The 15,050-nt window shown below is 37.0% G+C and overlaps 1 protein-coding gene across 8 annotated transcripts in view; it reads left to right on the top strand.

The window, feature by feature from the left end:
* The window catches only part of DGKI (diacylglycerol kinase iota), a 465,938-nt gene that overhangs the window by 372,831 nt on the left and 78,057 nt on the right, over positions 1-15,050 (top strand). For 4 of the 8 annotated variants that reach the window (NM_001321708.2, NM_001388092.1, XM_047421020.1 and 1 more), the window contains 4 exons: positions 4,525-4,594; positions 7,202-7,242; positions 8,109-8,236; positions 10,533-10,655. In NM_001321708.2, coding sequence (NP_001308637.1) covers positions 4,525-4,594; positions 7,202-7,242; positions 8,109-8,236; positions 10,533-10,655 — 362 coding nt within the window. The remainder of the gene's footprint in view (positions 1-4,524; positions 4,595-7,201; positions 7,243-8,108; positions 8,237-10,532; positions 10,656-15,050) is intronic. The other 4 variants (XM_047421022.1, XM_047421021.1, NM_001321710.2 and 1 more) reach the window with 2 other exon arrangements.

Genomic DNA, 15,050 nt, shown 5'->3' with positions numbered 1-15,050 from the left:
TTTCATTGGAATTCAAATGACTTTTAACGTAGGACCTATTATGTGAGTAGCTGTTTCTTTAAGAACTCACTTCTTCTTAAAGGAACAAGGTGGAAAGAGCTTCACAAAAGTTGGAAGAGGATGCAAATGTATTTCAGGGAAGCATTTCACAGAAGTTAGAACTCTACTTTTGCTTTTCTAACAACTCCCAAAATTGAAGTTTAATTGTCAGGTCACCAGGAAAGTATCCAATTGTTAAAATCAGATTCCTGTGCCTTTAAGTAATGATGTATTGTTTAACTTCAATTATTAATACCATACAATGGTAAATATAAATACATTTTTTCCCTTTGTTTATAAAAATGAACATAAGTAGAAGAACTTAAGGCACTGAAAACAAACACTTGGGAGAGACTATGGATGGAAATAAGCAAAAAGTTGAGTCTTTCCATGTAAAAATTGACCTAGTTTCAGTCTGCTCCTAGGAGAATAGCCACAAGCTCAGAGAGCTTTTGTTGTTTGTTGTTTTGGTATTACAATTACCAGTAACTTTGCATTGGTGATTCCTATTCTCATAAGGCATTTTACTGATCAGAATCTTCTTATTTTGTTGAATTCTCTGTGACATAAATTTTTGATTCTTTAAATTAATAGCTTTTTTAGCATCTTGGAAATCTCAGATCACTTTGATAATCTAGAAAGCAGTGGTTTTTCTGTCCAGGAAAATGAACATACACATAGACATACCAAATCTGGCATACAATTTTGGAGAGTTCAAGAATTGTTGAACCTATTTGAGGACCCATTAAAGTATTTTAAAGAGCTTTATGGCGACCCATGTGTTTTCACCAAACAAAATTGTAATGTTATCTTTAGACGAAACCTCTTTAAGAACATTGAGTTATATCAGATGTTTCTGTAGATCAAACATTTTTGCAATTTCCATCTATGGATCAAAATGTAGAGTAAATAAGTGAACAAAAGCAAACTACATTAAAAAAGTCAGGCATGGGCATAAAACTCTCCAGACACACAGCCACCTGCACATAAAAAGATATATACCATCTATATTTCCTTACCAACCTGTGGTAGTCATGTTGCTGAGGCAGTGCCTCAATCTAGATTTTACTAACCTAGACTAAATAACATCCAATTTTCTGTAATTAGAATAGCCTAGAGATAGTGTGATGGATCCTTAGGTTTTTAAAACAATAAATCAAGCATTCCTGTATTTTTTCCATTGATTTTTACATACAGAAATTAGGATTTTTTTTATTGTGTCCTCTGCAGCATATTCAACATCAAAATGCAGAAAGTGTCCTTGATGTTTTAGCCCCTTTATTCATAGAGAAGATAATCCTGTTTCTGTTTAATCTCTTTATTTATTAGCTTTCATAGTTGCCACTAAATATTTTGAATCACTTCCAAATGTCTTGATCTATAATTACATTTCTCACCCAACTGAGAGACGTCAGTAGCTTTATCTGTTTTTCAAAAATGCATTAAGTACCTTAAGTTCCTTTAAAACAAGTTGTCACACATGTCAAAATATAATTCTCAAAATGTTACACATAATTCTCATATAAATAGTTACTAAGCACATGTCAAGATTTTACTTAGCTCAACAATCAGGATGAAAATCCAGTTCAAAAAAGAGGAAATATATACACGTGTATATATAATATATATGTATATATAACATATAATATATACGTTTATATATGTATATGTACATATAATATGTATATGTATATATACATATAATAATTATAATATGTATATATACATATAATAATTATATGTATATATACATATAATAATTATATGTATATATACATATAATAATTATATGTATATACACATAAATATACACATACATATAATATTATATGTATATATACATATAATATTATGTGTATATATACATATATTATATGTATATATACATATATATGTGTATGTATATAATATTTATATGTATATACATATATATGTGTATATATAATATTTATATGTATATACACATATATATGTGTATATATATTTATATGTATATATACACATATATGTGTATATATTATATATAACATAATATATATGTATGTATATAACATATATACATATATAGTGTGTATATAATATATATGTATATATGTCTGTATATACATATATAATATAATGTATATATACACATGTATATAATATATAATATATACATGTGTATATATTATATATACATATATACATATAGAGAGCAAGAGAGAGACTATATGTAACATATATTTTTTCTGTATATATTATATAGTATCTCTGTATCCATAGCTATATGGATATATTTATAAATATAAATGATATACATATTTTATATTTATAAATATAGATTTTGGTAGCATTCCTGAATGAGACCATTTTTTCCTCTATCAATTATTTAATTCACAGAATTCATTTAGAGTAAAACTCCATACACTCCAGGTTTCTAGTTTACTAAGATGCATCCTTTTGTTCGGTAACTTTAGGTTCTTTCACATACATCCTCAGACCTATCTGAAAGGCTTGTTAAAACACATTGCTGGGTTCCACCCATAGTGCTTCTGTAGACCTGGGATGGGCCCTGGAAATTTGTGTTTCTGACAAGTTTCTAGCTGATGCACACTTTGAGAACAAGTGATTTAATCCCAGGCTTTATTTGAGGATCAAGTAGGGCAGCAGGGAGTGTTGATTAACTCCCAGGAAAGTCAGTACAACCTCTGATTGGGTCCTTATTACTTCTTCTATGTTATTCCTGTTTTCTTCTCCTGTCCCCTCTGTACACACAAGATCATCCACACCTGCGGCTTCAGCTGCCAAGTCTTTATTGCTGCCTGCACAGCCGCACCCCAGTGCTGCTCCCTACATTTGAACATTTCAAATCCCTATTAAGGGCCAGACTCCCAGTGTCTTCCCCACAGAGACCTGGCCTCCCTCGTTTGTCCCATTTCTGTCAGTGATTTCAATTCCACTGCAAACCAGGGCTAGAATGCTCCAAATCACATGTTGTAAACTAGAAGGTGCTCTCCTCCCTCCCCAGTTATCACTGGCAGGCTTCTCTTAGTAGAGAAAATGTTTAATTTTTAAAAGTTTGGAATCTTAAAGAGAAAATCCTTTCAGTTTTCAATCTGCCAGTTCTCTCTTCTGTTTCGTGGATGTAGCCTTAATTCTTTATAAGAAATAAAAGCTTCTGAGACTTCAAGGAAGTTTGGGAACTGAGAATTGTAGTAAGTCAGGGAAGCAAGCTAGTCCTGGCAATCTCTTGGAAGGGCAGCTTTGGAAGGCTGGGAGGTCAGAGGCCAAGCTTCTAGAGGTCATGTCTGAGGTGTGTAAGTGAGACTTGGAGCAGGAGATAATAAACATAAGCTTCAGGAGTTTGGAAGGGCAAGAAAGGAGAGTTTAAGAAGATTATCAAAAGATATATCAGCTTCAGTTTCAGCTACTCAGGAGGCTGAGGCTGGAGGATCACCTGAGCCCAGGAAACTGAGGCTATGGTGAGCCATGATCACACCACTGCACTCCAGCCTGGAAGACAGCCTGGAAGACAGCCTGTCTCAAAAAATAAAATATAAATGAAATAAAAATTAAAAAAATAGATGTAACAAGATCAGCTGAGGGTAATTTATTTTGGAAGAGAGGGAACTATTGAGAGCAGAAGAATTAATGAGTGGATTTTAATAATGCTACAGAAATAAAGTTCAAAGGAGAAAGAAAGATAGTCCAGAGTCTAAATTAAGTGATTGACTTTGGAGAGAAGAGAACTATTTTTATCCGAACCCAGAGGAAAGAATGATGGTAGTTATGTCAGGCAGACTTGATGTTAAATAGGAGAGGGGAAATTGGGAGGTCATAGAAATGAGACGCCTAGAAAATGCTCAGGTGAATGAGCACATTGCTGTCTGGATGAGTGTTGGACAGAGTGATTTTGTCATGAGTTAACCTGGCACTACTTTTCTTCCTTGTCTACTCCTCTGTAATTAGGTTCAGTGGAGAAGGCTGAGGTTAGAGATGACCTCAGTATGCGAGGTTGATTTTCTTTGTTTCCATGTAGATGAACAGTCCCTGTGTATGGATGGCTGCTGCTTTTTCTCACGTACCGTATGTCCCGTGTGGCCAGTAGATAACGTTTGATTCATTCCCATTCTGTGCCAGCGCCTTAGACCTATGTGTCAATGACAGCCAGCTGTCACTCATTCCTTGGCTTCACAAAGGGAAAGAAAGAAATTCCCATAAGGAAGTAAATGTCCTAAATTAGATTATTTATGTTTAATGGAATAATTGAAAATATTTAATGGAATAATTAAAAACCTCATGCTAATTTTATGAGGGAGTCATTTTCAAAAGTTCTATGTGAAAGAATTTCAAAAAAGAGCCCTTCTTTGTGTTCCTAGAGAAAAAAAAATGTGATTTGCTCTTCTCACCAGTGCTTTGTGTAGGAAAGGATGGCAGAATGCTGAGTGAGGGAAGCCCATCAGGTTATTGAAATGCAGCCACTAGAGTGTGTGTGTCTCTTTCCAGGACCATGAAACCTCCTTCCCCAGGGCTCTCTCAGCACAGAGGCTCTCTCCTCGGTGGTGCTTCCTAGATGGTGAGTTCTGCCTTTCTTGCGGGTATCGTGGGAGTTGGGGAAGTTGAAGAGCAAGGCATCAATTGATAGGGTGGGCTCTAGTTTTCCAAAAGATTATTCAGAAAGCCTTCATGTGACTCCACATGGCTGGTATTGGCATGCGGAACAATGTGGGCCTGCTGATATTGCACTGTCCTTTCCTGAAGTCATTTCCCTCAACACAGCTTGGTTAACTCTGGCTGAACTCAGCATCAAGTTGCTCAGGCCGATGTTTTTCTTTCATCAGCCCTCTTTTCTTAAAGCTTGACTGCCTGCCTTAAATTAATTCAGACCAGTAGCTGGATTCTATATGCATAGGATGGATATAATTTCTATGTTATTTGCATCTTATGGAACATTCATATTATTTTTATGAGACCATTATTGCAGTATGATGTATACATTTCTGGAAAAAGGTGGAAAAATTCAGTTGCATTCAAATCTGCTCAGATCCGCATGATATATTGCATGCATAATAGGTTAGTTATCTTATGATTGTTTAATGAGTCCGTTTTTTTATCTCAAGTATCTCTCTCCTAGATGCTGCCTAATACTACATTTCTATCCAATTACCCGTATTGCAGTACCTTCTCACCTCTGTATATTCATGCTTACATACTACCGAATGTATCTACTACCCATTCTCTCTTTTGTTCATATGGAGACATGATTTTCATTGTAGACCCCTTTTTTGTTTTTCTGGGTGAGCATCTGAGAGGATATAAATGTGAATATGAGTATGACAGGATTTGTGAGTGTATGAGCAAGCATTGGGATGGCAGCAGCAGAGATCTATTAAGATTTAAGGACTGTCCAGTAGCCTAGCATGACTGCAATGTAAGGGTTTTAACTGGCATAGTGGAAGAGAAGGTTATAACTTTGGTGCCAGATCACAGAACACTTTGAATGCCATATATATATTTTTCTAGTGTTATGAAGATGGGCACTTGTATCTGTATGAGATCTAACCCACATAAATCATGATGTAGGTTTTTGTTAATGTCTCATCAGCTGCCTCTCAGAACTTTCCTCCAGCTTCTTTATTCCATAGCAATGAGAAACATAATCATTTGTCATTCCTGAATTTGCAGAGGAACAACTTGTATTTGAGAAAATTATGAAAATATTTATGTTGTTATGTTCTATCTAAAGTCTTAAATAAAAGTACAAATATTGTGGCTGACAGTCTTAGCCCAGGTAGTAGTTTTACTCCATAGTTTTAATAAAATAAAACCTTTAAAAGGTAATTGCAGTCATGGTTTAAAAGAAAAAAGTAGAGTGAATTTCTCCAAGGCAGATTTTATTCTATTCTTAGGTTTTAGACAGCAGGGGTGATGATTGGCTGGTTTCTTAGTTCTGTCGCCTTTGGAGAGAAGCTACTCATTAAATGTTTGTGAATTTTAAATAAGTGCTTGCATTTTGAGTTTTTCTTTCTTGTGCTGTTTGTTTTGTAGAAAATCTATTTATAATATTTGGGCTTTGTTAGATAGATTTAAGTGAGAAGCACATAATTCTTTTTGGTTTGCTTTTTTTTTTTTTTCTTTTTTGAGATAGGAGTCTGACTCTGTTGCCCAGGCTGAAGTGCAGTGGCATGATCATGGTTCACCGCAGCCTTGAACTCCTGGGCTCAGGCAATCCTCCTACTTCAGCCTCCCAAGTAGCTGGGACCACAGGGGCACACCACTATCCCTAGCTAATTAAAAAAATTGTTTTTGTAGAGATGAAGTCTTGCTTTGTTGCCCAGGCTGGTCTCAGACTCCTGGCTTCAAGCACTTCTCCCACCTGAGCTTCCCAAAATGCAGCTGATAGTTCTTTCTAATATTAGGAATATTTAAAATAATTTCTAGAAACCCAAAATTTGTAATTTAGATTTTTTTCGCATACCATAGATGTAGCTCAATCTCTTTCAGAGAATGCTTAAATAATTTTTTTGCTGTTTTGGCTTCCTTCAGACATGACTCTAAGGATGCAGGTTGAAAGTGAAATGATTCATTTAAGACCACATATGGTCTCTGGCCTGAATCTTCAAGCCATTTTCCGAAGTGGGAAGTCACTTCACTGAGAAGTCTACGTAACTGTAGCTTTTTCTAGCTTTATTTACTTAATAAATACATACTAATTCCTAACTTACTTTAAGATCATTTGCTAATTTCAGGAGGCATAAAAGATTAAATGAAACAGATTTTTAAAGAGGCAGGTCTCTTAGTCTCATGGTTATCTGTGAAGATAGTCTGTATAAGAAGTTTTAAAAAATGTAAATGTGGATGGATGCAGGGTCAGCAGGTTCTGTCTGGTGTTGGGAGGTTGGGACTGAGAAAGGTTTCACAGAAGCAGAAGCACTTGAGCTGGTTCTTTAAAGACAAGTATGATTTAGATGGCAGAGGCAAAGGGAAGGGCTTTCCAAGCCTTAGAATAGCAGTGGCAGAGGCATGGAAGTGCTGAGGTTTTCTTAATAGATTTAGGGACTGGCCAGGAGACTAGCATGACTGCCATGTAGGGGTTTTGACCAGCATAGTCGAAGAGAAGGTTATAAATTTGGTGCCAGATTACAGAACATTCTGAATGCCATCTGCATTTTTTTTCCCCTAGCAACTTCTGCTGATCGCTTTTATCGAATAGACAGATCTCAGGTAAGTTTTTTTCCAGCCTGCTTGTGAAAGTGAAAAATTCCCAAGTTAATGTGCTTTATTGGTAGCTAATCTCATAAATTTTTCTAACGAAAACCACTGAGACACAAATTTTGGAATGGTGTTCATAACTTAAGCTTGAACCTTTTATTTGTCTTCACGTGTTTTATGATTTATGGACTCAAGATGATGTGGCTTAATCTTGCAAATGAGTACAGAAAATAAGTTGACTTGTAGACATTATCACCAGCCTGTACTCCAAATTTTCATTCACAAAGATATTTTTACTCCTTTTTAGCCAAATTTCATGTCTTTTTAAGCTCATTTCTGTTTAGCAAGTTTGAGGCCCCAGGTGTATAACTAGACTACTTAGTTTCAGTTCGCCAATCCCTGGAGGTCAGTGATGAGAAAAAAAAAATGGTTTTGCCCAAGTTAAGAATTCCTCCCATTATCTGAATTCTCCTAGGAGAAAAATGTACAGTATTGAACCTAATGATAAAGTTGTTAACCATGCTGCTTAGCTTTGACCAGATGACGGGGTAGAAGTCCACTTACCATACACTCCTGCTGGGCCAATTGTATGTGGGTGTCACTTCTCTAATAGTATTTGGGAAGAAGATGAGGCAAGACCATTTCTAGATATATCTAAGAAAAAGTCCTGGTTAATTGGAAATCCTGAACCAAGGGGATTCATCTCTCCCTATCTCCCACTGTCTGCGTTAGCGCAGCTTTGGGGAGGATCACCAACTGATCAAGCTTCTGACAACACAGTGTGATCCTTTGACACGTTGCAGAATTTCATTATTCCTCGAGACCAAGAATACTTGTTTTGTTATTCTTCATGCAACAGACTTCTTGTTCTTCTTTAGGAACATTTGCACTTTGTGATGGAGATTTCCCAAGATGAGATTTTTATTCTGGACCCAGATATGGTGGTGTCACAGCCGGCGGGGACACCTCCGGGCATGCCTGACCTGGTGGTGGAACAAGCCTCGGGGTGAGTGTGCTTCTCCTGGCCTGTGAGGCTGGCCTTAGGGTGACATCCATGTCTGGTTCGCCTTTGAACTTGACATCGTTCTAATGACATCAAATGATTTTGAAGTGTAGATTTTCTTGTTGTGTTTCCTTAGAGTGGTTATTATAAGTCTGTCTTATGAATGGCCGTGAAGAAACACAAAACCAGATTTACACCATGTCCAAGCCTCTTTCCCCATCACAGCAACCCTTCCTAACAAACCTAGAAAGCACTAGTACTTGTGTTTGTGCTTGTACGTTTGTAGTAACTCTGTTATCTACATTAAAAATTGACACAGGTGATTTGACAAATTTTCTCCTCTTCCTCTTCTTTGCTATTTCCAGGCTGCTGGAGACATGTAGATTATATAATAATAACTATGACATACCAAGCCCTTTTTAAGAGCTCTGTCCTGTGTCTCTCTTCTGTTTCTACCACCGCTTCATAGTGACTTAATCATCTTAAGTGCTCTGTGCTTATTTTCTCATCTGTAAAATACAAATAACAATAATCCTCACTCAGAGAATTGTTTGGCGATTAAAAGAATTGATACAGGTAAAGCACTTAAAGTCATTCCTGGCATTTTTAAAACATGCATTAAACAGAATGTTATTACAATAATAATAATAGTCATCACCATCATTCTAGTGACCTTGAAAATTTGGTACAATTATCCTTAATTCATAGATTAAAAAATTGAGACCTAAAGGGTTATGTTACTTGTCTAATATTTCACAGAAAATAAGTAGAAAAAATGAGATATAGTCCTGGGTTACCTGATGCCAGAGCCCATGCATTTAACTACCACCTTCTACCACCAAAACATAATTAGTATTTCTAAGTTATTTCAATAATTAAAAACTATTTATTTAGAGAATTTTGTGTGCCAGGTCCTAGTGTAAGCACTTGGGGAATAACAGTACAAAAATAAAAACAGATAAGAATCTTTGTCCTTGTGAAATTTAGTGTTTTACTGGTCTATGGGGCCTGAATTGTTGAAGTAAGAATTGCTCTAGAAACCATACACAATGTGCCCAAATAGTAAATGCACATCGTGTACACAGACTCATACAGTATGAATAAACAGTCCACTAGGCTAGCACAACTGCAATGTCATCTTCATTCCTGTTTTCCCCTTGTCACTTGATTTACTTTTTTTCACTTTTTTTGGTTCACTGCTGCTATTTGTGGGTGGTTTCCCACTCTGCCAGGGGCAGTTGATGTCCAATATGTACCAAGTCTAGGTGGAGACAAGAGAGGACACAAGTGGCTGCATGGCCTGATAGCAAGCTGTTCTCAGGAAGCCAGAGCTGCGATGTCAGAGCATGGGGGAAGGCCGACAGGCACAAGGGGTAACCTGATGCACCCCTGGGAGCCCCAAAGGTGGTGGGGAAGGCCAACTTCGTGGGGCACATCCATGCATCAGACCCATCAGTAGTGGGGAAAGCAGGTAGAGTGTTTTGTCCTACTGCAGAAGCAGCAGGTGCTAGAGTCTGGGTGTCCTCCTACCCCACCTAACCTGGGCTCTGACTCTTGATCTAGTAAGGAGAAAGTCCATTCTGCCAAGTTGCCCTGGTCTTTGCTCACTTGGTCATTTTCTTTTTCTTTTCCTTTTTTTTTTTTTTTTTTTTTTGAGATGGAGTCTCGCTCTGTCACCCAGACTGGAGTGCAGTGGTGCGATCTTGGCTCACTGCAAGCTCCGCCTCCCGGGTTCATGCCATTGTCCTGCCTCAGCCTCATGGGTAGCTGGGACTACAGGCGCCTGCCACCACGCCTGGCTAATTTTTTGTATGGTCGTTTTCTTCATGTCAAATAATGGCCAAATGCTTTGGCCTTGCTAGACCTCTGTTAGCTCTAGCTCCAAAAATAAAGTAGCCTGAAAATCCACCAGGACTTGAATCAGTGCCTTTCTTATTTCTCACCAGTTGCCTCCCCTGAACTAAACCAGGAACAGGGAAGCAGTGAAACAGGATGGACTTTGTTATTTTCTAATCTGCATTTCTGCCCTAGGTCTATTACTTCTTATTCATGTCACATTTAAAATGACTTAATCTTGAAAATCAGTTTTCTCATCTGTGAAGGGGACAGAATCATACAAATAGTTCATGATTGTTGAGATAAATGAATGAAATAATAAATGGGTAGTATCTGGTAAACACTTCATAAAGATGAATTTTGCTTCTCACATTTACTGGCAAGATTCATCTTCAGAAAGTGGAAACGAAGTCACGTGGCTGACTTTGAATGTTTAACTGTCTGGTGCCCTTCTTTCTCTCAGGATCTCAGACTGGTGGAATCCTGCCCTGCGGAAACGCATGCTGAGTGACAGTGGGCTGGGGATGATAGCTCCCTATTATGAGGACTCAGATCTGAAAGATCTCAGCCACTCCCGCGTGCTACAGTAAGAGTTCTCTTGCTGTTCTTTTCCTCTGTGCCACTGTGATTGCTGGGAGAGGATGTACTGTGGGCTGTGCCCCAGTGGTCAGGATTCTCTTTTCAATGGCGCTCAGGCTGTCTCATGCAGGTGCTACTCTGTGTTTTCATTCCATGCACCTTGCTCATATTTATCTACCCCAAACCGTTCATGGAACTCCACCTTCCATTTCTTTTGCTCCTGAGCCACCTTGAGCCCCTTGCACGTGGACCTCCACATACTTTAAACCTCACCAGTGTCTTCTTTACTGGAGTTTAGTGTTTATCACACGTCCCTGTTTGCCACATCATAAAGACATGCATGAGAGTGATCATGAGTAGCTTGAAAGTGACACGTGGTTTTTCATTTGTGAACACATTATCTTGCTGTTTCAGTGGTCCTCAGTCCTGAGCCTGTGCATGTGTGCTGTACCCAATATTGCCACGTGGGTTTGTTGGCTAAAGCTGGGTGCTGCCCATGTTGTGGTTGCAGTCTCTGTGGGTAAGCAGTACAGCATTTGTTTGTAGATCAGAACAGTATGTGTGCTTTCTTCTGAGGTCTGATCATGGTGAGAGTGTAGGATGCATGCTGAAGTTTCACAGCAGTGTCGATACCTTTGTGCTCGGTGAATCCACCTCCCTATCATCTCCTCTGGTGACAGATACACTCATGCGCACCTACTCTTTAATTTCAGGCCAATCAATCCATCTCAGAGGTTATGCAAATCCAGTGTGTTCATGAAATTAGGCTGGTTTCCAGTTTACCTGGGGTCTTAATCAAATAATGACAATGGCCTTGTAACCACACAGTCTTAGTCTTTTGACAGAATAACAAGATAACTGAAGATTCTTCGAATCCTAGGGTTAACTAAAGAGGCAAAGGAAGTGCTTTGTTTCTGGAGAAAGACCAGAAGCAATTTCAGTATTACAAAGGGGAAAAAAATGAGAAATTTGGAGCTAATTATTTCATTGGCAAAGTTTCGAGGCACACACCCTCAGGGCAGAAGACTTCATTTTAATTGCTTCTCTGTATTACCTCTTATTTTCTTGTGTGAAGACGGGAAAGGAACAACAATGAATTACTATGGATTTTTCTTTTTAATTAAACTGTGTTGTTAGTTTCTGATGGCATTTTGATTGCTTATAATTCAGGATGTTTTCCATTTCCTTTTTATACAGAATTGAGGCTTGTGAATCAGGGTGAGTCAGCCACCCACGAATGGCTAAAAAAGTGGCCATTTATCTGTTGGCAGACTTATTGGAAAATTAGTGTTTTAATTAGCTACAGAAATAGAAATTAAGCCTGGACAAACCAGTATTTGTTTACTGAGTAAAAACTCAGTAAACCAATGAGTATTTTAGTTGTATATATATATATAATCTGTTTCCACAAAGCAGAATATGAGCTCAATCTAGTTTTCTAGGTCCTGATTTTTCTATATATAACATACTGATGTACGTATCATAATAAATAAAATAATTGTATATAAGATAGTAAATATTCTTCCCAAGAATGACAAATAAATTTACCACTTTATATAATAGCCAGGTTCTTAAAACCAGATGTCAAAATGAACTCTTTCTGTCTGTTTGCGTTAAACTATCTTTTTAGGGATGTCTCTTAATTTTTGGTTGATCTTCAATTTACAGCTATAAGTTTTTGCAGTCATTTATACTACTTTAGTTCTAAAATGCCCTAGAGTAGTAGACACTTTTTAAAAAAACCTGAAAAATTACTTTGAAAACAAGCAAAGTGGCATTCAAACATTCATCCCCAGCCTTTCAGCTTCTCCAGCTGGATCTCCAGACATTGTGGAACAAAGGCAAGTCATCTCTACTAGGCTCAGTCTGAATTCCTGTCTCATAGAAGACACAGCATAATAAAATTGTTGTGTTAAATCACTTAAAAATAAAACTAAACTAAACCAGATGCCTTACCTCAACTTTTTAATTAATTCTTTAACTTTTAAAATTATTATGTCCATTTATTTCTTAGAATATCTTTTTATTTCCTTCAGACATCATCTCTGATACAAATAGGTATAATTGCAGTTGTGGAAATATCTAATAATGTTAATAATAACTACTATTGATGGACTACTTCCCACTTGCTTTGTATCATAATTAAATGATCTTCATTCAACAATTTTTAAATTTAGCTGTTGCTTAACAGATAAGTAAACTGAGGCTCCTAGAGGGTAAAATATTTATCTTAGGTCACTTCAAATGGCAAGTGTAGTTTGACCTGAGGTCGGTTTGGCTTCTGACTCCATGCTTTTTCCATTGTCCTACACTATCTTCCCAAAGGGACCATACAAAGTCAGCGTACCAGAGCCACAGAAGTTTACTTTGGTTTCTATTTCTTTTTTACATTTGTACAGTGAAAAGTCCTACAATATAGGGGTACTATGCATGCACATTAAATATACAACTGCAAACTTACCCAGAAGTAAATATGGCTGAGAATTAATTTTTAAGCATTTTTTTCTTTAAAAGAAGAGATTGAAACAAAATATAATGGTGGTAAACTTCAGTTTAAAATTGCTAAATATATATAAACTATGTTCTAATCAAAATAAGCGTAAAAATTATATAGAAGGCCATCATGTACCAACCACCTTGATTTATTATGTCATTGTTTTTCTATATTTGCATTATATCTTTCTTTCAAGCCATAAACAACACAGAGTAGTGTAAAAAATATTGTTTTATGGTTTTGTTTTGTATTGTACAAGTTGGAGTATCTCTAATTGGAAAATCTGTAATCTGAAATGCTCCAAAATCCAAAACTTTTAAAGTGCTGACCTGATGCTCAAAGGAAGTGCTTATTGGAACATTTTGGATTTCAGATATTTGGATTTGGGATGCTCAACTGGTAAGTATAATGCAAATATTCCAAAATCCTAAGAAAATAAAAAATCTGAGGCACTTCTGGTCCCAAGCATTTTGGATAAGGGATACTCAACTTGTATTTTTGTTTTTGCCTGTGTTATATAATGCATATATTTTGGAACTTGCCATTTCACTCAGCATTGTGTTTTTGAAATTCATTCATATTGATATATGTGGGTTTTTAATAATTTTTGATATAGAATATTGCATCATACATATGCTATAAATTGTTTCTCTATTTCGATAGTGATTTCTAATATTCTATTATTTTTTAAAATGCAGCAAACATCCTGTGCCCTTCTGTGTTGCAGAATATATATGCAGTTTCAGCTTACTCGATAATGCAAAATTTACCTTCCCAGTTAGAGTACTGATGAATCAGTAACTGAAAAGGCCCTGAACACTTATTGTAATAATCTAGGTATGATCAGCATCTGTTGCTTTACACTTTAAAGCCCCAGTCAACTTGGGGGATAGGAAAGGTTCAATTTAGCATCCTGTTGACAGTGCTAAATAACTCACTATATAAACAGAAATCAAAAGAGAAACTTTCAATTCTTAGAACTGAAAATACTACTTATCAGAGTTTTCGAGACACTGCTAACGTAGTATTCATAGTACGTTAGGACTGCAGATTCATTTATCAAGGGAAAAATGATTGTGTGCAAATAAGCAAAGCATTCAATTTGATAAATTGGAAAAAGAATCCCAGTGTAAAGAAATGAGAGGGGAGAAAAATGATAAAGATAATGAGAGAAATCAATGACAAGGAGAATAAAACAGACAGATGATGAACAGAAAATAAAATTTTTGGCCGGGCTCAGTGGCTCACGCCTGTAATCCTAGCACTTTGGGAGGCTGAGGCGGGTGGATCACGAGGTCAGGAGATCAAGACCATCCTGGCTAACATGGTGAAACCCCGTCTCTACTAAAAATACAAAAAATTAGCCGGGCGTGGTGGCGGGCGCCCGTAGTCCCAGCTACTCGGGAGGCTGAGGCAGGAGAATGGCGTGAACCCGGGAGGCGGAGCTTGCAGTGAGCCAAGACCGTGCCACTGCACTCCAGCCTGGGCAACAGCGAGACTCCATCTCAAAAAAAAAAAAAAAAAAAAAAAATTTAAAAAATTCGTTGAAAAGATAAATAAAACAAAATTCTGAGAAGTCTGATTTAAAAGAAAAAAGTACTGAAAACAGAAAGAAATATACCTGCAAGGCTTTCCCCATATCATTCTTCCTCCAAGGCACCCAGGGCATTTTTGTGCCAAGCGGCCCTTTCTCCTCCAAATTGCAACTGACCCGGCTCTGTTGGATCTTCTCAGCATTTTCCCATGGTTTTAAAATTTAAAATAGTCCCTTAGATCCATCAACCTCCCTTTTTCTCAGGCAGAGTGAGAGGCAATTAGTATAAAAAGGATGAATTAGATTTCTATCATTACTGGAATTGGTTGCATTTATTTTAAATGTTTCCATTTAGAAGCATTATAATTTTAAAG

Source organism: Homo sapiens, chromosome 7, assembly GCF_000001405.40.
Source record: "Homo sapiens chromosome 7, GRCh38.p14 Primary Assembly".
Lineage (NCBI taxonomy): Eukaryota > Metazoa > Chordata > Mammalia > Primates > Hominidae > Homo > Homo sapiens.
Note: the sequence above shows the minus strand (reverse complement) of the source record. Positions and strands in the feature narration are given on the sequence as shown.